This window comes from Homo sapiens, chromosome 11 (assembly GCF_000001405.40).
Source record: "Homo sapiens chromosome 11, GRCh38.p14 Primary Assembly".
NCBI lineage: Eukaryota > Metazoa > Chordata > Mammalia > Primates > Hominidae > Homo > Homo sapiens.
The window spans coordinates 100,092,406-100,114,708 of NC_000011.10; the positions used below are offsets into that span (position 1 = coordinate 100,092,406).

General features: G+C 36.2%; 1 protein-coding gene and 1 long non-coding RNA gene across 13 annotated transcripts in view, besides 3 other annotated features; one reads left to right on the forward strand and one right to left on the reverse strand.

The window, feature by feature from the left end:
• The window catches only part of LOC105369456 (uncharacterized), a 54,991-nt gene extending 41,155 nt beyond the window's left edge, over nt 1-13,836 (reverse strand). Inside the window, exon 1 of the long non-coding RNA XR_947948.3 lies at nt 13,630-13,836. This is a non-coding gene — a long non-coding RNA (uncharacterized LOC105369456). The remainder of the gene's footprint in view (nt 1-13,629) is intronic.
• CNTN5 (contactin 5) overlaps nt 1-22,303 on the forward strand; it is a 1,337,937-nt gene that overhangs the window by 1,071,457 nt on the left and 244,177 nt on the right. The window lies entirely within an intron of this gene.
• Nucleotides 1,080-1,249: an enhancer, noted in NCBI's record as "experimental_22479 CRE fragment used in MPRA reporter constructs". NCBI's record gives its function as "activates a minimal promoter by MPRAs in K562 erythroleukemia cells, with activity observed for both the introgressed and non-introgressed 11:99964302 variant alleles {active_cell/tissue: K562}" and the evidence as "EXISTENCE:reporter gene assay evidence [ECO:0000049][PMID:34662402]".
• Nucleotides 12,118-12,287: an enhancer, noted in NCBI's record as "experimental_22485 CRE fragment used in MPRA reporter constructs". NCBI's record gives its function as "activates a minimal promoter by MPRAs in K562 erythroleukemia cells, with activity observed for the introgressed 11:99975340 variant allele {active_cell/tissue: K562}" and the evidence as "EXISTENCE:reporter gene assay evidence [ECO:0000049][PMID:34662402]".
• Nucleotides 12,946-13,940: an enhancer, noted in NCBI's record as "NANOG hESC enhancer chr11:99976083-99977077 (GRCh37/hg19 assembly coordinates)". NCBI's record gives its function as "activates a minimal SCP1, AML or CMV promoter by ChIP-STARR-seq in naive H9 embryonic stem cells {active_cell/tissue: H9 hESC(naive)}" and the evidence as "EXISTENCE:reporter gene assay evidence [ECO:0000049][PMID:30033119]".

The following is a 22,303-nucleotide window of genomic DNA, read 5'->3' on the forward strand; positions in this document are numbered from 1 at the left end:
CTGTATTTAAGGCCTGCATTTTCGTGGTGAATGTGTCTCCAGGGCTGTACCTTTCCACTGCCCAGACTTTTAAGCACCATCCATATTAAGCACAAATCAGAACGCTTTTCACAAACCACTTAATGCTGTTTAAAACCCACAAGTAAATCATCTTAACTAAACCCTTTGATATAGCTTTGCTCTCCAAACTGTCCCTATCTGGTTTTAAACACTATTATAAGATTGTTTTAAAAATTTAGAGGTGGCACACCACATTAAAGCTGTTATATCTGTATAAATCATGTGTGGAATAGGACTGTGCTCTTCCCCCATACTGAGATCAATGCTTAAAATTTTATGTGATTGTCCTCTTTGCGCATATGTGTGTGCTGGGAGGCGGAGGTGGGGTGCAGTATGCTTGCACCTGTGCACCTGGTTTTAAAGCGGTGATTTCCAACTTCTTTTCTCTTTGAGTTGGTTGAGGCCCTGGTGCTTGCAATGACACTGAAACAAGATGTGCTTTTTAACATATAGGCTGTAAATGTTAGTATTTCTGAGTTTCGCAGATCCCTACTCGCCCTGGTTTTGGAGAAAAAGCTAAGTTCCATCCTCTTGCCTCATTTCATGGGTCATTTATATGTACATGAGCCTCTTCAGCAGCAATATACAGTATCTGCCTCCTCTCTCAATGACCAACTTTGAGTATTGTCCCTGATCCGCCATACATGTTCTGCAACAGTGCGGGGTTGACTCAAAGACAACAAGAGTGGCTATTTCCTTCTGCTAGTTCAGCCCTCACAGTTATGATCTAGCTGTGGGAAGCCCTGTTTTCTCTCGGGTGTTCTCTATACCACAGCTAGTGTTTGTTGATCACTTCTGAAAAATGCACTTTTTTTGAGACAGTCTTGTTCTGTCACCCAGGCTGGAGTGCAGTGGCAAGACCATAGCGCACTGTAATCTGGAACTCCTGGGCTCAAGCAATCCTCCATCCTCAGCCTCCTGAGTAGTGGGGACTACAGGTGTGTGCCATCATGCCCAGCTAAGTTTTTATTATTTTTTTTTTATACAGATGAGGTCTTGCTATGTTTCTCAAATAGGTCTCAAGCTCCTGGCCTCAAGTGGTTCTCCCACTTCAACCTCCCAAAGTTCTGGGATTTCAGGTGTGAGCCACTGTGCCTGGCCCAAGTTGCAAGTTTTCAGGTGCACACCCCTATTTAATTGATGTCTTTTTGAAAATATATATAATAAAGCAAGCCAGGGTTCTCTAATTTTTTCTACAGTCTGTACAACCTGACTTGAGTTCAGGGCCACAATCAGGACCTCATGACTGCTCAACAGCTTTTGCCAAAGTGGCCCAGTCACAAGAATTACACGTGGATTTTGTTAGGAATACAGACACCTAGGCCCCTTCCCCTGGAAATTCTGATGCAGCAGATCTAGGTGGATCCCCATGATCTAGAAGTTCTATTAGTGCCTAAGTAACTCTCATGAGCAGGCAGAAGGAGCAAACACAGCTGGTCAGGATTAACATTTCCCTTCAGGGTGAACAGGAGAAAGTTTCACTCTCCAGATTTGTACCAATTAACTCAAATTATGCAGGTTATTCATAACTGTGTCGGATCCTTTTGTTTACCTGAAACCAGACATATTTAGGCTTTATTTAATAATGGTGGTTAATTACATTGTTACATCTGACAATGAGAAAAGAAGGAATCTCTTGGGTTAAAAAAATTAAAAATTAAAAAGCACAATGGGAGCCAGGTCTTCAGGAGACTGAACTGAGCAGATGCCCTGGATCTGGTAGATGCGGAAATCTTATCAGCTATGGTCTATGGATCTAACTCTCAGGTGCTCCCACTTGACTGAAAACTTCTTCTTTCTCCACCTCTTCATCTCATTGTGTATCTTGCTCCTCCCCCTGCCTCCAACTGGGTAAGAACTCATATTCTACTAGGCAACATACTGAGCACATGACTTTAATCCAGTCCGTCTGCCTCTCTCACATCAGCTGCATAATCATTTAGCTTAAAGTGACATTTTAAAATCTCAGTTTTCTTACTAGCCTTGATTTTTAAAGAGTCAGTCGACTTTTAAACCTTTTAAGACTTTAATGTTATCAAACGTTTAAATAATATTTCCCTAATCACTGGAGTAAAGCCCTGATGTGTGTTGTGGAGGGGTGATTTAATTTTCTGGGTTCTGAGTACCTCTTTTCTAATTGATATTCTTCACTGCCAGCTTCTCTAAAGAGAGATGGGTTTGTGGGGAGGGTGGAAAGAAAGAAGAAATGAAAGAAGAAAGAAATGAAGGAAGGAAAGCAGACCAGGAGGAAAAAAGGAAAGAGAGAGACAGGGAAAGAAGAAGGAGGGAGGGAGGGAGGAAAGGAAGGAAGGAAGGAAGGAAGGAAGGAAGGAAGGAAGGAAGGAAGGAAGGAAATTAAAGGAGAAAAAAATCATCATTATTCCATTTATGCTTGTTTGAGGAAAGGTAACACATCTTTTTATGAGAATTTGTTGCTCACCTTGTATAAGTAGAGACACTAGTATCAGTCAAGACTTCACATAGAAATTATTATTCATTAAAAATCCTTTGCACAAATATATTTAAAAATTACTTAAGCTAAGCAAATATAAAGCACTTTCACTCCAGTGAACTGAGTATTTTAGGATAGCATCCATATTGTAGCACGATTTCTCCACTTTGCTTATTAGATGATGATATTGCACAAAGAACTAATAAGCCAAAAGAGGGTGAAATATAAAACTAGATTCCAACTTAGAGGATGGATATATGCTATCAATTTTTTTTCTGCAATTACAAAGTATCTTCATTTACACTGAGTTTCCAAGAAAAACCTAGACTATGTTTTTATGTGGAAGAAACTAACTAGAAGTCTTGTTGTCATTGTTCTCTTTTTATTAAAAATTACTGTTTTTGAGGGGAAGAAATTAAAGTATGTTTTTGAGTGGAAGAAACTAACCAGAAGTCTTTTTATAATTGTTCTTTATTTATTAAAAATTCACGATGTGTTTGAAACCACCTAGTGCTTATTTATATGTAGATTCTGGTGTCTAGATGTATATGACCACAGGCAACACAGTACACATCATGGGTCATGTCCATGCCATCTGTGCAAATACATGGGTAATGTGCGTGGGTTCATTGTGTATAGTTAGTTACCAATTTGTCTCTCTGTAAAAAATTGATTTTAGGTAAAAGGCTCTATTTGAATATCCTAGAGCAAGATGTTGTTTGAAATAAAGTTTGAAAAATGTGATTGTACTTTTAGCACACATTTCCTCAATCAGTAATTTAGTCTCAAGTTTGGTCTTAGGCAAGATCTACATGTAAGGCTTATTTCTGATGGTTTCTCAAGCTGGGAGAGAAAACAATTAAAGAAAATACTTAGTCAGTTTTTATCTACACGTGTGCCTTCGGTGATTTATTTAAGCATTCCAACAGATAACATGTCTCCATTATTTTTAGCAAAGGGCTTTTTGTCAGTATTTTGTCTCCAGTTATAATAAGTGTTTTAAACATCTGTCAAAGCTGTTCTACTTCCCACTCAACAGCAAAGAAACCATGATATGTGCTGGAGGTCAGGAATACCAGCTACAAGCAGAATTAGGATTAATTATTGGTAGACAGGGCCGATATCATGGTCTGGCCACCTGTGCAGTTACATAAAGCACTAAAGTTAGAAGGATCCTTTGCTTGCTTTAGTGTTTTACTGGCACCAAATTGAAATTCCTAGTAATTTTTGAACAAGAAACCCATGTTTTTATTTTTCACTGGGCCCCACAAATTGTGTAGCCAGAACTATTGCTAGACTATTTGCTTGACGTGTAGTCCCAGGCACATTATTTAATCTTCCTAGGCTTCATTTTCCACATTTTAAGAAGGGGAGGATAATGACACCTATTTCATTGGTTTTGCGAGAATTAAAAGAGATCGCGCTTTCAATATGTTAAGTAGAGCACATGGCTCATGTTAAAGGCCCATTGTTCTGAGATTCACTGATATATACCCGTATTCTGGGATAGTCCGTCTACTCGCACCTTTTGCCCTTGGCTAGTGTGTAAACAACTACTTCACATCATCCCCTGATACCTGATCTCCCTCCCACCTGGGAGCTCCATCACTGTTGCTACCATTCTCCTAGCCATCCGGGTTTGAAATGATAAACCCCTTGACTGCCTAGGCCTTATTGGCCACCAAAACGTACAAATTATGACTACCTCATCATGCTCTAACACTCTCATCCTAGTGACTTATATCCAGTTCCCAAGTACACCTACACTAGAATGTAGTCTGCATATTCTACCACGGAGATCAATCTACCTGGCATGTCACTTTCTACCAGCATATTAGTCTGCTCTAAAACTTTTTGGCCTGGGGACCAATAATTCCCTGTGACTCTCCCGACCACATGGAGAAAGAAAGGAAAACATGAATTTACATCACATGTGTATTTAAAGGCAAATCAGAGACTACACAGTAGATGGAAAAAGCTTTTTTAGCTACTAATGTAATCCCAGTAGCTGGGGAATAACAGAATTTTCAAGCTGCCTGTTTGGCAGAGAAACCCAGTGTTCCACAAGACTTTGCTCTTCTCTTCATTTGTTTCTTAAAACCACGCTGTGTTATTTAAGGAAATGATGATCAACAAAATTCTAACTGAAAAGTAACTTGATGAAATATTTTCCATTAACCGTTGAGATATTATAGAAATGTACTTTTTCCTAAGTGATTCTGGGGCAGAAAAATACCTTTATAATCCTAATATATCACAATTCCTTTAGTGCCTAATATTGAGGGAGCAGCTTTTATTCAAGATGGAAGGAATATTAGATATCATTCAATCTAGCTTCCTCATTTTACAGATAATAAAACTGAGGATGAGAGTGGTAAAGTGATTTGCTCAAATTCATGAACCTGCCTCTCCTAATATTCAGCCAAGTGTCTTTTCCAGAATGTCACAGTTCCCTGTATAATAAGAATCAGCTTTATTTTCCACAAGAATAAAAGAGGTTAGAGTTAGAAAAAGAATAAGTTTTCTGGATACAGAGTGTCATTGTGTCTATGTGAAGGAATGTTAGCAAAAGTGAAAAAAACAAAAACCTTGTACAGAATAAAAGAAGTTATTCCTGGCAATTGACTGAAATGGAAAGAAATCATAAAAGACTTGAATGACAGGCAAATGAATAATGTGATGAGATATATCAAATTTTGACTCTACTGAGATCAAAAGGAAGAATAGAGTATAGGGAATGAAAGATGATGTCTGGATTTAACATTCATTTGGGAATCATTTCAAAATCTTGAGATAAAAGGTTCTTTAGAAATAATAAATGTTGTGTTTCTTTAATTTTTAGGGACTGAGAGATTCATGCATTGTCACAAGATGTTATTAAAAACAGCTATTCATTTTTCATGGAATGAGACAGAATGCATATTGTATATTGGAGGCAAAACTATATCCTCTGTTATTCCCATATATTTCCTTTCAATAGCCGATCAGATGAAATTGTGAGTGGATATGAAAGGACAAAATTAAACATGGTAAAAGAAATTAAATCGGGGAGTTTTTTTTTAAGAAAAAATCCTTCATTTGTTTCGTTGTCAGAATTACCAAGATGAGCTAGGTAATAGGTTAGCTTTACGAGCTAAAAGTCATCATCTATACATGCAAATCACGTTGCATGCAAACGTTCTTTCTGGTCCATTTTCATTAGTGCTTAAGTATGGAGAGACTACTACAGGACTTTAAAGCTTCTGTCCAATTACCCAGGGACATCTCAACATGAATTATAGCTATGTATAAGCAAAAAAAAGTATTTGACTTTAAAGCAAATACATCAGACTGTAAAGCAAATTCAATATTATTCATCTTTTGTTGTATTCAAAGATAAGAAAGTAGTGATTACTTACATTATAAAGGTTTAAATATCTATATTTACCCCTGACTTTAGTACATAACAAAATATGAATAATATTAAGATTCCCAGGATATGATAATTTCAATAATAAGAAAGCCCTCTTTTGACTAGGATTTTCTTATTTCCAACAGGTTTTTGTGTTGTGTTTAATCTGTCTGTCTGTGTTTTAGATTTACTCTATTAGGAAATATTAGTTCCAACCATTGTCCTTACAGCTGTCCTTGCAGGAACACTACTCATTTTGGAACAGATTAGTGTATCTTGGTACCCCCTTTACCTTGAATGTATAAATTATCTTTTAGATCTATTTGTTGCTATGTAACAAACCACCCTAAAGCTGAGTGGTTTCTAATGTTATTGCCCAGTAGCATTTTGGGCCAGCAAAATGGTTATTCTCCTGGGCTTATCATTTGTCTGTGGTCAGCCGCAGGTTGAGTCAGCAGTTTGGCTGACCTTGGCTGGTACCTTTCATATCCCTCATCACATCTGTCACATCTGTACAGCACAACAGTTGTCCACAAATTCCATCATTTTCTAGCAGATTAGCCGGACTTGTTCACCCGGTGGTGAGCAGAGTGTCAGGAAAATGAGTGGAAATCTTCAGGGTTTCTTAAAGCCTAGGGTCAGCATCATTTCTGCTGTATTCTACTGGTCAAAGTATGTCACAGAGCAGGTCCAGATTAAAGGGCGGGAAAGACAAGTGGGAAAAACTGCAAAGTAACTTTGGAAAAGAGCCTAGGTATACAGAGGGGGATATTTGCAGCCAATTTTGTAAACAATTTACAAATTACTGAAGAATTTCTACAGAAAATTCATTTTAATTACCTTGGTTATACTTAAACATAAAAACAGTGAGGCCCAGAGATGTCGAGCAACTGGCCCAAGTTCACACAGAAAGTTAAAAGCAGAACTGGAATAACCAACTGTCCTAGTTTGCCCAGGATTATGTCAGTTTTAGCACTGAACATCCCACATTTCAGGCAAACTGGGGTGGTTGGACACCCTAGGGAAAGGGCTAGGATTTCCTGATTCTTAGTTTGATATTATTTTCTGAACACTAAAATTGATCTATGTGACTAGCTATTGGTGTTTAAGATCAATCTACCCTCATTCCTGCATCCTCTATTAGCATGCATGCTGACATTTAATTAGTTTGTCCATTGGTTAGACTCTACTCTGTTCCAAAATGGTTTAAGGCATTTTATAAAGTACTGTACATCACAAGGGGATAACTACACAAGGCTACCTTGCCATTCTTCAAACATTCCACGTATTTTAATGTTTATGAATGCTAATTCTTTCTGCTTTGTGATTAGTCTTTCTCTTTCTAGAATGGTTTTTGCTTTTTTTTTTCTATTAATATCATTCAATTTATAGTTTCCAATTACCTTCTCTGTGATGTAGGCCCCAGTTGAAGAATTCATCATTATCTCCTCTGAGCTCCTGGGAGACTTGGCCCATATTTTGATCGCCATACTTAGTACATTGTTTCTACTAAGTTACGTGTTATCTCATTACAGTGTGTTTTCACCTTACATCTCCTTTATTTAGTATAATCTTCCATATCCAGTAGGCACTCTGTCATTTCTTTAAGTCATTGTTTCTGTTGCATAAATGAGTGAACAGACTGTTTAGTGACAGCCTAGTGAAATGTGGAAATTTTCACTTTCTTCACTAAAAACCCTTGACTGCTTTTCTTCTTAGTTCCAATTATCCATTTGCTGCATTTTTATCTTTTCCGTTGGTATAATTCCTGCCCTAAGCAACACAGCTCTCATATAATCTGCTGGGTTTTAATTGGCTGCAGTTTCCAAAGCTAAATGATTAGTTTCAAAAAGATTGTTTCTGACCCAATGCACTGTAAATTCTGCACGGGGATCTGAAGTGCTTTTGTTTGAGGCCCTGTGTTTTTGTGTTTGTGTATGTCATTTTTATACCCATTCTGGATTAGTTTCCAGAATATCCAGAAAAATACCAAACACATAATAGGTGCTCAGTGCACTTCATGATTCATTGTTTTATCATTTGCTCATATGTCTCTATACACCCATTTATACTTCAGGGCCCTTCATAGGCCTCTTCACTTTTGGAAAACTTTCCTGAGCAAGCCCCTCCCTGTCCAGCTGGAGTTCTACAAACATTTACCATAGAACCCATTCTTTTATATTTTCATAAAGTATTCAATTCTTTGTCTCTCCATCCACTGTCTGTAAACTCTTTGAAGCTGGCATCTGTAGACTATTTGCTTTTGCTGTACCTGGCTCACAGGAGGTACCAAAACAACCTTTGTTTATGTGATTGATTAGTCAAATTGATGAATCAATCAAAAACTACAGTTTCAGAGGAAAATGTTATAAAAAGAAAAAGTATTTCAGACGTCTTCTTGGCTCGTATTACCTGTGTCATAGCTTTTCCATATTCAGAACAGTTTGCATCTTAGAATTTGGTTAGCAGATATACTTATAAGACTTTGCAGGTAAGAAGAGGAAATGCCCAGCAATCAGCTTGCTAAATTTCTCAATTTGCCCCACCTAAACTTGCAACTTAAATTTAGACATTTTTCTGAAATAGGTAAGTCTAAACTATGAGTAGGATGGATTTCCCCAATTTTCTTGCATCAACTGATACAATATCTACAAATTATCGAAAAGATGTCAAAAACACATGGGGCTTTAGCCAGTCCTTATAATGAGAGATGGGTCTTGGTTTAGCAGAAGAAAAGAATACATTTCAGATAAGGAAAATAAAAGCATCTAATGCATAAAATAGAAACAATACGGTATGTTCCTGTAATAGTGAGGCCTTTCATACCTTTAGAATACAGGATAAAAATGGAGATTTGCATCAACTTGATGATTGGAACTAAGCTGGGAGATGTAAACTTGGCATGTTGGTATATATGAGTAGAAGAGGAGCTTTCAAAAGTAGCATTCATGCAAGTTCAGTGGAAAAGACCAGTGACAGGAAAACACTTGTGTAAACAGACATGATATTCTGACAGTGAGAATGGGGAGGAAGGTAAATGCTCAAGAAGGATAAGATTAAAGTGAATTATATTTCTGAAGGGAGGAACAATCCACTTTTCTAGCCTTTTCTCTTGCCACTCAGTCATGTATCTTTTACACTCCAATGATAGAGAATTTCTCATAAGCATCGAGCTTATTGCATCCCTTTAGATTCCATCATCTTTCCTCATGCAGCGGCTTCTGCTTTATCTTTACTCTAAACTCCTAAGAAATTCCAATGTATTCTTTTTTTAATTTTTTAATTTCAATAGTTTTGGTGGTACAGGTGGTTTTTGGTTATATGGATAATTTCTTTAGTGGTGATTTCCGAGATTTTGGTGCACCTGTCACCAGGGCAGAGTATACTATACCCAATATGTAGTCTTTTATTGCTCACCCCACTCCCAGACTTTCCCTCTGAGTCTCCGAAGTCCATTCTACAATTCTTATGCCTTTGCATCCTCGTAGCTTAGCTTCCATGTATATGTGAGAACATGCAATACTTGGCTTTTTATTCTTGAATTACTTCACTTAGAATAATGGCCTCCAGCTCCATCCATGTTGCTGCGAAATATTATTTCCTTTCTTTTTATGGCTGAGTAATATCAGTGGTGTAAACCTACCATATTTTCTTTGTCCACTGATTGGTTGATGAGCACTTACATTGGTTCCATAGCTTTGCAACTGCAAATTGTGCTGCTGAAAACATGAATGTGCATGTCTTTTACATATAATGACTTATTTTCCTTTGGGTAGATACCCAGTAGTAGGATTGCTGAATTGAACGGTAGTTCTACTTTTAGTTCTTTAAGGAATCTTCATACTGTTTTCTATAGTGGTTGTACTAGTTTACATTGCCACCCTCAGTGTAAGTGTTCCCTTTTGCCACACCCACACTAACGTCTATTTTTTTTTTTAATTGTGGCTTTTCTGGCAGGAGTAGGATGGTATCTCATTGTGGTTTTAATTTACATTTCCCTGATAATTGTGATGTTGAACATTTTTAAAAATATTTGTTGGCTGTTTGTGTATCTTCTTTTGAGAATTGTCTATTCATGTTCTTCACCCACTTTTTGATGGGATTATTTGTTTTTTCTTGCTGATTTGTTTGAGCTCCACATTTTAGAGAAGTATAAAATATTTAAAAGACAGAAAGAATGTAGAGCCTTTGGAATAAGAGACGTGGGAGAATGTCCTGAAAATACAGTTTTCCAGAGGTCAAAAAAAAGAAGTTTTAAGAATAAAAAAGGTAAACTGGTGCCAAATGTAAAAAGTGGTCAAAAACTGATAAAAGAATAATTTAGAATTTGTTAAGAATCTGATTATTGATATGAAACGTTTAAAAGAACAGTTTTAGCAAAAGACATTACTAAAATGTGTATTTTATTATATATTTTATTTATCCTAGGCTATAAAAACCTCAGGACTGTAAGATTTTTAATTAGTGTTAATAATGCTTGATCATAGTGTATGACTTTTCTCCCTTCTGTATTACCAGCAATCTGAACATTAGCACTAGGCTTAATGTGATTAAGAGAAATGGATTCTTCCTCTAACTGGCTGATTTTGGAGAAGACATAGAACAAGGGAATCTTTAAGGGTCATCTTACTCTCACCCAATATGAGAATTCCTCCTACAACCTCCTTAACTATTAACTTATTTCACCTTTCTAGATGTCCGTGACCTTGTCTCTAAAATAACGCACTTGGACTTCTAGCTCTAACTTCTGATTAAATGAATTAGAACATAAAGTCACTGAGTCAGTTGCCTTCAACTCATTCTGCATGCAGGCTGTACAATATTTTCATCCACATTTTAAAAGTGAAATATTTTAAATGTTAGTAAATGTTAAAAATTAGTAAGCAAAGAGCAATTAGCACGGGCACATTCTGAATGCCTTTTAGCCCTTGCTTAAACTTAAGAGAACAGTCTGTTAAAAACAAGATAATATTTTTATTGACATTTCAGTTGTTGCAAATGAGTCTTTGCCAGCTTTCCTCCTGATTCTAGTATTTTGCCTAATTCTGATTTCACGCGTGGGTACTTTCTGAACAATCCATGTCTTGGAGCGCATCATGTACTAATGTTGCTCTGACAACCTTGTAATGGGAATTTGAACAGTTATTACATTTTTCTTGTTAAAACCAGGGGGAAAGAGCATTCCAAGTGTTTATAGCTCCCTAACCTTACTGTGATGAGGTGAAGTTTGATGTAGCTATTTCCTCTTACTTTGAAATCTCATTTTTAATAACACTGTTCCACGCTTGGCGCTGCATGTGTCAGCTGTGAACCCATTCACCTTTGCAAGGAGTAGCCTTAATCCTGCAAATCCTACTTTGCTCCAGTCAGTACAGGGTTGAAGAGAAGAATCTATTCTAATTACTTAAAGTTTACTTACCAGTGCCTGCAATGCTACAAGGGAACTGGAAGCTATAATAGACCACCCTCTTCAGTTTGGGGGAAATTCTACAAGAAAGGCTTCTGTAACATGAGCAGCTCTTGACTTATCAGCAACTTCCATAGGCTAATGATTATATTTGCCAACATACCCACAACAGTTTACAGAGATTTTTGACTTACAGCAGATAAATGTAAAGATTGAAATTACGAAATAAGTAGAACTTGTGAAACCCTTTACAAAGTCACAGAATATACTTTATCTTTTTTGTCAAGTAGAATGGAAATTTGTTAAATTATCTGCTTCTCACATATTATTTTAAAACAAAACAGATGAAAGCTCTGAAATACAAGGTAGAAAACGTCACTTTTTTTTTTTTTTTTTTGAGGCAGAGTCTTTCTCTGTCACCCAAGCTGGAATGCAGTAGTGAGATCTCCGCTCACTGCAACTTCCGCCTCCCAGGTTCAGGCAATTCTCCTGCCTCAGCCTCCTGAGAAGCTGGGATTACAGGTACCCACCACCACTCCCAGCTCATTTTTATATTTTTAGTAGAGACAGGGTTTTGCCGTGTTGGCCAGACTGGTCTCAAACTCCTGACCTCAGGTGATCCACCTGCCTTGGCCTCCCAAAGGTGTGAGCCACCACACTTGGCTGATAAGGTCACTTTTTAAAAAGAATAGTTTTTAGGCATCATAGTGTCATTAGGTACTATAAGCAGCAAGTTCTAGAAAAAAAAATCACATATAATAACTATCTTTTGTTGACTACTTAGTAGAAACCAAGTGTACTTCTAGACACTCTGCATATATCATCAAATTTAATCCTGACCTAATTGAAAAACATATAATAAAATATTAACAAAAGTAATCCTTAGGTGAAGGTAACAGTTAACTTTACATGGGTTATATCGATTAATAGATAAAAAGACAGGTAAACATACTGTTTTCCTTTGAGGAAAATAGCAAGTGTTTTCCTTTGAGGAAAATGGGCAGGACATAGTATATATCTGGGTAATTTGACCCCTCCATTCTTAGTGCATCTTACCTCTCTACTAGTTTTATACCTGAATATGCTTACTGTACTATTCCCTTTTTAACTAAGAAATCTCTAGAATCCTTCTACAGGCATATCATATGTTCCTCTCCCCTTTTTGTACTATGCAAGTATTTTTCACAAATTTTGCACCTAGAATCTTCATGTTATATTCCACATCAACTAGCATGAGAGAGGCTGCTTTTCATTAGGCAATAAGAAGCAGAGAAAGATCTATACTGCAATAACTCTATGATAAAGGCAGGACGGTATATTTTACACTGATTTCACCATATATCCTCCGCATCGCAATTGGAAATGTAGATTTTATAATGCTTATTTTGCAATTCAGGAAACTAATGTTCGAGGCTTAACTTATTCAAAGCGATTACTTGAAGCAAAAGCTTCATGAACTTGCCCAGGGTTATTCTGCTGCTGAGGGGGAGAGATAGCATTGGAACACAGGGTTTATTTGCCTTCAAAGTTCTGTTATTCCTATTACATCTCTGTCATGAGGAAGACTCCATGCAGCAGAATACCTAAATTTTAGCAGGTGTTTTTAAGAGATGCATGAGCAGAGAGAGAGAATTTGCATCTGTGTGGATAGAGGGATCTTGCTTCATTTGCAAGCAAGAACTTCTGTGAGACTTCCGGTACATCAAAGAATGCCTTTGCATGGCTGTCTTCTGGAACAACCTGTATAACCACATGGGAATAACTAGGTCCAAAGTGTCACACTGGCTTATGCATCTCCTCAAGTAGTCCTACAAAGTCTAAAAAGTTAACAGATACAAACCAATATCGGAAGGAAGGACCCATACGGTAAGATGACCACAAACATAGCACTTTTCCCACTGAGTCCCCTGTTGTTCTAAGTCTGCCTTTGATGAGTATCCAGGAGCTTGTGGTCTCCTAGTCCTTTTCCTCCTCTCCTTTGTACTCTCCAAGGTCTCATCGTTTCAGACCTCTCAACCCCTCCATTCTCCATTTAGAGTTCTGGTTCCAATTCAAGGCAAAATCCTCCCAGCCAGGTCTTCAGGTTTCCAGGCAGTGCCCAAGGCTCCATGCAGCAGCAAGTCCTTTGCACTTAAAAGCAAGTCTTTCACACATGCAAGTTCTTCAAAGGGAAACAACTCTTAGTCAAACAAGCCTTTCTCTCATAACATTGGCCCCATTTTACAGTGGAACTCTGATGCTTAATTATACTAACAAAGTATACTTTTTAATGGAACACTAGCTACCTTTAAAAGTTAGCCCTCAGATCATAAGGCTTACCATGAATGAACATGATTTCAGCTCCTGTAAAGTTCAAACCAGTGCTGCTGATCAGAAGTCGGTTTTCCCACAAAGGGCGATTCAGGGACTGCAGATGGTGCTGCTGTTATCTCTACATCAAGCCACTAAAAGGGAAGTGACATGGGAGTTTAAATAGACCACACCTGGAATGGCAGCTGTCACCTTCACTCACAGTTGACTAGTCACAGCTAACTGCCAGGTAATCAGAGAATAAGGGCCACTAAATGGCACAGCAAGTTATAAAATGCATTCTTAACCGGCATATGATATCTAGCTGGATATCCAGGAATAAAAGAAGAGAGGTCAGCTAAGCAGATAGCTAGACTGCGTGATGCAAAATTTTGCTAATTTCTAATGCCTTACCAAAGATTCCTTTCCCTTAGGTTTGGGACATTTTGTAATGGAAGAAAAGGGAGCATTCTGAGGGAATGAGGGAGGAGGGAATAAAGCATGCATGTTGAAGAAAACTCTACCGTTGTAATTTAAGAAACAACAACATACATGCCAGAATCCCTTTGTAAAGTGAACTTACAGTTTAAATTGTACATTGTATGATTGTAAAACCATTATATAAATGAAAAAAATAGGGACCATTACTGCCTTAAAAACAAACAAAAAAATGAAATACATTTGTTTGGAAGATGAGAAGACTATCCAGATTTGACTAGAGATATTTGCCTATAATATCACTTTAAATTGTTTCTGGGGACAAGAAGAAATAATAATAATAATAGCCTCCCTCTCTGTAATAGAAAAATGTTATTAGGTGACATGATATTTATATAAAATGTTGTTTCCAATGAGACAAAAGTAAAATATCCTACTGTTTTTAGAAGCACCTGGTATTCACTGTATGACATCTTACTTTCAAGGGAGTTCTTGAACCACCTCTATAAGGCAGTCAACTTTTAAAGCAACTTAGTATTTTGGCAGTTGGAAGACATATTAACTACAGTCATACCTATTTATGCCTAAATCTAAAAGTTCAAAAAATAATTAACTCAGATTTAGTAGATTTGGAATATGGATTGATAGTTTCTAGTTTTGAACCTAGCTTAGACATTAACAAAGTGGACTAATAATAAACTTAGACTAATAAAAGTATCCCCAAGACCACTTTTTCCTCACTCCTGCCTTGCTTACACACTTGTCAGTAAATTAGAGTTTTATTTCCTTCATGCCAGGTATCCTGCAGATTTTGAGGGAAATAGAAGCCCCTAGTGTAAAATACAAGAGTTTCTGACAACCGGTTGATAAATTCTTATTTATTAAAAATAATTTCTAACTTAGCATGAGGTCAATAGACTTAATGAAAAAATTTCATGGTATAAACAATATTAAAATATTCTAATTATGACAATTCTGGCAAATCCCAGAATGCATTAGATTACAGAATCACAGGCTTATTTCCAGATGCTGCAACTATAGTATTCTTTTTTTTTTTTTTTTTTGAAGTCTAAACATCTCAGTGGTTCCAAAATACAGCAGAATCAGATAAATGTTTGGGAACCATACTGAAAACCAATTCTGAGAATTTAATTAAAGGCTGGCTAAAAGCAAACAAAAAAACTATTATATAGTGTAGTTGAGTGTGACATTCTCATTGGATAGTTGATAATTGCACTGCTTTTCCTCCATATCACCACAAATTCATCAATCAATAAATTGTTATGAAAAATTTATGTATCAAACGATAGAGTTTATACAAGTAAAAGAAAATTCTTATTTTCAAAGACCTACTACTCCAGTGATACAAATGTATACACATACATTTTAACATATAAGCCTATATAGATATATGTATGCATGTGTGTGTGCTTAATATCAAACTCTTCACAAAATGTAATATAGTTTATAGAAAGCAAAGTTTATTTTAGATGAAACCTAGAGAGCTGAGTCAAATTTACCTAAACAGAGAATAGTGGGGATAATTTTTTTTTTTTTTTTGTAAAGAAAAGGCCTAAGTAAAGCTAGTAAAGGCATTCGAAGTGCATTGGTTTGATGAAAGTAGAAGACTTGTGTATAAATAAAGGAGTGAGAAAATTAGAGAAGAGTTTGAGGTCATACTTGTGCAAATCCCAGAAGGCCAAGCTGAGAACGGCACCTGATCTTATAGAGAGTAGGGAGATAAAATATTAGAGGAGTTCCAGCATTGTGTGACAAATGTTATTGAGCTTGGATAGAATTCAGTGAGATTAGTGCTATATAGCAAAAGAATGCATAAAATACAACATAAGTACTGGCTTTACAAAAACATCATTGGACCAACATGTATGGGCTACATGGAAGTGGAAAGAGATTGAGGTAGGAAGCAGATGCAATCATTGAGATGTGTGAGATGTATGGTAGGAAAGGTGGATGGCGTGGGGAAGGAAAAGAAAGGGTCAAATGGGAGAGACACATATTTTCAGCACAAAGCTTCAATAAATACTTGCTAAACGAACTAATAAATCTATATAATATTTCAGCTCATTACATATCCTATTTTTCTTAGTTCTGTCAAGATCCTCTGAGGGAAACAAGCAGGCTGGGTACAGAAGTTAAACTTTGGAACACTTTCTCTTTGAGTCCCCATTATATATGTTCTCATACATGCCCTCATTGATGCTGCCAGTCCATATTTTTATAATATCATGTATTATTCTTTTGTAGCATTTATTATGATTTTATTAACTTTTATATTATTATATATGTAAACTGACAGAGATCGCAACTACTCTACACACTCCATAAGAGTGCAATGTATATTTTCTCACAACTGTATCTAGTATATATCAAAGTTCAATAATGTTTAATTGATGTCACATTGCTATGTGGAAGATCAAAGTAATTTGCAGCATATTAGCTCTGTGTTTCTTGCATAAAATTATCGTCTTGAGAGCTGGCTCTAGAAAAAATGCAAAATCAGTGGGGAGAAAAACTTCTTCCCACTTTATAATGATACTTCAACACCCTTGACCAAATTCTTATCTCCTTCATCTGAACTCTGTCATGCCACCGTGTTTGCCTGTCATCACTAAAGGAAAGCAAACCATAAAATTAAATCACAAATAACGCTAGAATGATTTGCCTTTTAAAGATTCCCCAAATAGTCCAGGTACAGTGCTCACTCCTGTCATCCCAGCACTTTGGGAGGTCGAGGCGGATGGATCACGAAGTCAGGCATTCGAGACCAGCCTGGCCAACATGGCGAAACCCTGTCTCTACTAAGAATACAAAAATTAGCCAGGCGTGTTGACAGGCGCTTGTAATCCCAGCTACTCGGGAGGCTGAGGCAGGCGAATCGCTTGAACCCGGGAGGCGGAGGTTGCAGTAAGCCAAGATTGCGCCGCTGTCCTCTAGCCTGGGCTACAGAGCAAGACTTCATCTAAAACAAGACAAAACAAAACAAAATCCCCCAAACAAGGAATCAATCACTGGATGATAGTATTTCAGGCATTCCTGAGGTACACACTCCTGGCAACTATCTCTTCCACTTATTTTTTTTATTTCTTCTAACAAAAATACTAACTAAACTTGACTCAATAATTCTTTGTTAATGAGAGAGAAAAAAATTGTTCTTATTTCAACATATACTTCAGATAGAATTTAGTACTTGAATAAGCATTCAGAATAAAATGCGAAAGTATTATTAAGGGCACAAAAGTATTATGCACTTAACGATTATGCCGATAATTGTTAAGGGCGCAACCTAACAATGTAGGATGTGACAAAAATATCAATATCGGCTTTATTCACCTTCATGATGGAATGTAAGGCATTCATTTCTTATTTCTCCTTGGCTTTGGAGTTAGCTCACTCATTTCTACATTCTAGCTGTCTAACTAGAAAGGCAAAACATAGCCATGTGTGGTGGCTCATGCCTGTAATCCCAGCATTTTGAGAGGCCGAGATGAGTGGATTGCTTGAGTTCAGGACTTTAAGACCAGCCTGGCAACATGGTGAAACCCTGTCTCTACCAGAAATACAAAAAATTAGCCTGGCATGGTGTCGTGTTGCTGTAGTCCCATAGTCCCAGCTACTCATGAGGCTGAGGTGGGAGGATGGCTTGAGCCCAGTGGGTGGAGGTTGCAGTGAGCAGAGATGGCGCCACTGTACTCCATCCTGGGTGACAGAGTGAGACCCTATCTAAAAAAAAAAAAAAAGAAAAGAAAAAGAAAAGATAAAACATAAATAAGCAAAATAGAATTTTCTCTATAAGTTCTAGAAATCTAATAATGCCAAATTTTTAGCATTTAAGTAAATTGTACTAGAGTGACAGTTTATAAAGGAACACTATTTAAACAAGAGCACCTGTAGACGTGTCATATTTTAAGGGCAATTATAAGAAATTCTATCCAAGTTGATATTTTCCAATAATATAGGATTGCTATTTTTTTTTCTGATACATGGTTAAGCAATTTTCTGAATTTTTTAAAAACAAGATACATTTCAGTTCATGAATGACCTTAGATATGAGTTTTCTCACTAGGTGTTATAAAATGCGCTAGAAGAGAAAAAAACACAGAACAATCTATTTATAAACCATATAATGAGAATAAGGTACCCTTTATCTAATTTGCAATCCATAATAGAAACTATAATTGTCTATAGTTAGAGGAAAATAACTTATATTTGCTTATCAATTGTACCTTGAAGGGCTCTGTATTTAATTAAATGTCCAATGACAAATCTGATTCCACCAATTGCATCTTTAGAATCAGAGATTGATAGAAGCCACAGAGTCAGGGGAACCATTTGCCACAACAGTGAAATGTGGGATTGATGTCACTTCAGCCTGGGATGGTTTATTTGAAAATGGTAAGCCTCTGGTAGCATCAATAATGCCATGTTATTATCTTTTGGCATTTATGCATATACTCCTGATAGTGCAGTCCATTGAGTATTGAATTAAAGAGATTTCAAGTCCTGTCCTTCACTAGAATATAGCTTTTCTTGAAGTGTTAATGCAAAAAAAAAAAATGTAAAGACAAAGAAAACTTGTAATCCCAAATTTTTCTGTACCAGAACATGTTTATATAGGTTTACCAAGGGAAAGAGAGGGAGAAATACATTGGATTTAAGGTAGAACCTGTTCATATCAAGACTGTTTATAAATGACACCCAAAATCAGATACTGGGGAGTGGAGAGGGAAAGGTTAGACTAACCTTTTTCCACTTAACTGACTTTTGTGGGACTGTATAGATATTGTTTTAAAACCAGTGCCGTTTTTTGTTTCAGTTAAATTCTCCAGTTACCAATTCACTTTAGACAGTGAAAAAATGGAATGACAGAGAGTCTGAATGAAACAGACTGATGAGGCAACATCTCAAAAAGGCAGGATACAAATGATGAAAGGCATATGTCAGCCAACCAAGTTATCTTTGTGATCCAGAGGCATGGCAGAGAGACACAAATCTGTCCCTGAAGTTCTCAGAATGAAAAGTTTGGTTCATAGTTCAAGCGAGGTTAATATTCCCAATCTCATTCTATTCTTTATCTCTCTACCAAAAGAGACAATAATGTTGTTCATTTTACCTACTGCAATTTTATCTTCTTTCTTGCAGTGTCTTTTGCTTATGAATTAATTTTTTATTCTTACTGTGATAAGAACACTTAATATGCAATCTATCCTCTTAAGAAAATTTAAGTGTACAATCCATTATTGTTGACTATAGGTGCAGTATTGTAGAGAAGATCTCTAGATCTCATTCATCTTAACCGAAATTTTATGCCTGTTGATTAATATCTCCCCATTTGCTCCTACTCCTGTCCTTGGTAAGCATCATTCCAGTCTTTGATTGTATGAATTTGACTATTTTGGATATTTCATGTAAGTGGAATCATTAAGTATTTGTCTTCCTGTGTTTGGTGAATTTAGTAGTTTCTTAACATATCTCTTTTTCTTATTTGTTTACACTACGTTGTATAGGAAAATATTTTTTAAATGCTGCAATTTTTCCAGTACTAGTCATGAATCTTCATAAATATTCTGACTCTATCCTTTCCAGCACATGGAGGGATTACACCTCCGTGTTGACTTGGAAACTAGGTGTGGCCATATGACGTGCTTTAGCCAATGAAATGTGAGTGGAAGATGCCTGTGTAATTTCTGGGTAGGAGCTTTAACAGCCAGAGACTGCTTTACCATGTTCTTGTCCTCTGCCACCAACATGGACTGAGGCCATTCCAACATCCAAAGAGATAAGGATGAAGACAGTAAAGAACAGAACTCCAGCTGACCTTCAATGAACATGTTGAGGAATAAGGGGCAAAAAGTTCTCTGTTATTTTTAGATACTGAGATTCAGAGTTTGTTTTTTTACTGAAGCATAGTGCATATCACTGATGATATAAACACTGATAATAGTAGAGAAATGGATAAAATAGAAAAATTCTATTTTAAAACATGAATTAATGATATTAACTATCAGACACCGAAAATGTAACATATATCCCTGTGTTGTCTTAGTTCCTTATAAATTAGTCTGGTGTTAGAACTGTAATTTTCTGACACCTACTTAGAGATACGGTAGGGTGCTTGTTACAGTTCACTTCTTTGCATGGCATTATGAAACATAGGCAGCCATGTTTCACTCCTCATAACTAGGGTAATAAAAATATGAGAAGATAGAGAATAGGCAGCGCACATCTTTCTTTACTTGAAATTGTTCAGCTCATTTTGAGATTGATAAAATGGCACAATTAAGTTTAAAAATAAAGAAGTGAAAGTTTCAGACTAAAGGTCATGACATAATTTAAAGCTGAGGGCAAAATGATATAATTGAAGAGGGAAGAGTGCCTTTTAACAACAGTAATTGACTAACTCCCAGTTAATAATGTTATGACTGAAAATTAAGAGCATAGCTATGCTCAGGTGATATATCTATATTAAGAAGAAAGCAAAATCAAAGTAGTATTGTCTATTTATATATCCTACTCATCAAATATCTTTGTAACAGAATTCTTGATTGCTTCTATGCTAGTCATTAGAGTTAAACATAGAATATTGTATTCTTTATTTAACCTGTTTGAGTCTTTCATTATGGAAGTCAAATCTTAGTCTCTCTTTAATGATATCGGATAGATATTGCTGTGATCAGACAACTGTTCTGTATCTGTGCTGTCCAACACCATAGCCACTGTTGAACATTTGGTATGTAGCTAGTGCCACAGAGGAACTAAATTTTCAGTTTTACTGAAATTACTTTACATATAAATGTAAAGTATTAATTAATTTACATTTTAAGAGCAAAATGTAGCTAGTAGCTACTATATTAATCATACAGCTGGTATCGCCATGTAACCTGAAACTAAAGTTGAATCTTCAAGGTCACAAATAAACATTTGAAAGGTTTAATGCCCAACCAGGGATGCCATGCCAAAAAAAAAAAAAAAAAAAAAAAAAAAAAAAAAAAACAAGAAAGAAAAAAGAAAAAGAAAGAAAAAGAAAAAAACAAGCAAACAAACAAACAAAAAACTTTGAAAAGTACCAACACCAAAATCTTAGCATTCAGAGCCTCAGTATTGTTCAAAAGTTATTAAAGTGGATGAAGGGAGCACAATGAAAGGTTTTGCCACCAGAGAATTACATAGCATATGACAATACTGAATGCATAATTTTCCCCACTTCTTTCTAACTTCTTAATCTAAATGGGTCACATTTCTGTCAGCAAACAAATTCCTATAGTCAATACAATTTCTTGGAAATCTGACATTATTATAAACACTTCAAATTACTTTACCTTCTTGGTAAACTATCAGTTTCTCAGATTTTTGTTTCCACACAAGCTCAAAAGTCTCCATGTATGTAATTTCACTTTTTTTAAACCTTTTAGCGTATGTCTCATGTGGTCTTGTTGCCAAGAGAGTGTAACATAAGTACATTTCTAAAACTTACCATTTACATAAAACTTGAATTTTCAAGTAGAGCCATTTGAGACCTCAGATCTATTCTTCCATCCCTCTTGAATGTATATGGTCTTGATTTGTTTGGAACTGCCATCCATGTAAGTATCTTATTCTACCACTAAGTGGTTGGAGCATAGGTAAAAGTATTCGAACTTTGGGCGTGCATCCAAGATTTGATTTTTCAGCAGTTTAAAACAAAACTACCTGATGTGTTCCACTGTATGAGATCAAAAATAGACAGTGTTATCTTTGTGAGACAACATCAAAATTTGATTTAAAATATTCAGATGAAACATTTTTTTCTTAAGGTTGTTTCTGTGGGTAAACTCAAGGGAAGATTAATTCTATACCTAGAAGCTGTCATTGATCTGGCACTGATATACATATATAGTCTGTTTTTTAATCAGTATTTGGATCATATTCCAAAGTGTCAGTTTTATGTGATAGTTAAAACAGTTTGTGGCAGGAAGAACTTTAAAAGATTTTCATGAATCTCAATTAAATAACTTGAAGTTTTAAAAATTCAATCACATTAAAATATTTTTTGTTTTTTAATAAAGTTCTGATTTGATAGATTATCACATTAATTACAAACCTTCAGGGCTCGCCTTTGTCCATTGTTTAAAATGCTTAGTGTAGTGTGTTAAAAGTTCTTCAACTCTGGGACCAAATTTTTAGCCCCTTCTTACAGAAGTTTTTTTTCCTTCTGCTCACAACTTAACTTGTCAGTCCTTGAAAAATGCTCTCTTTTGAATAGTTAGAA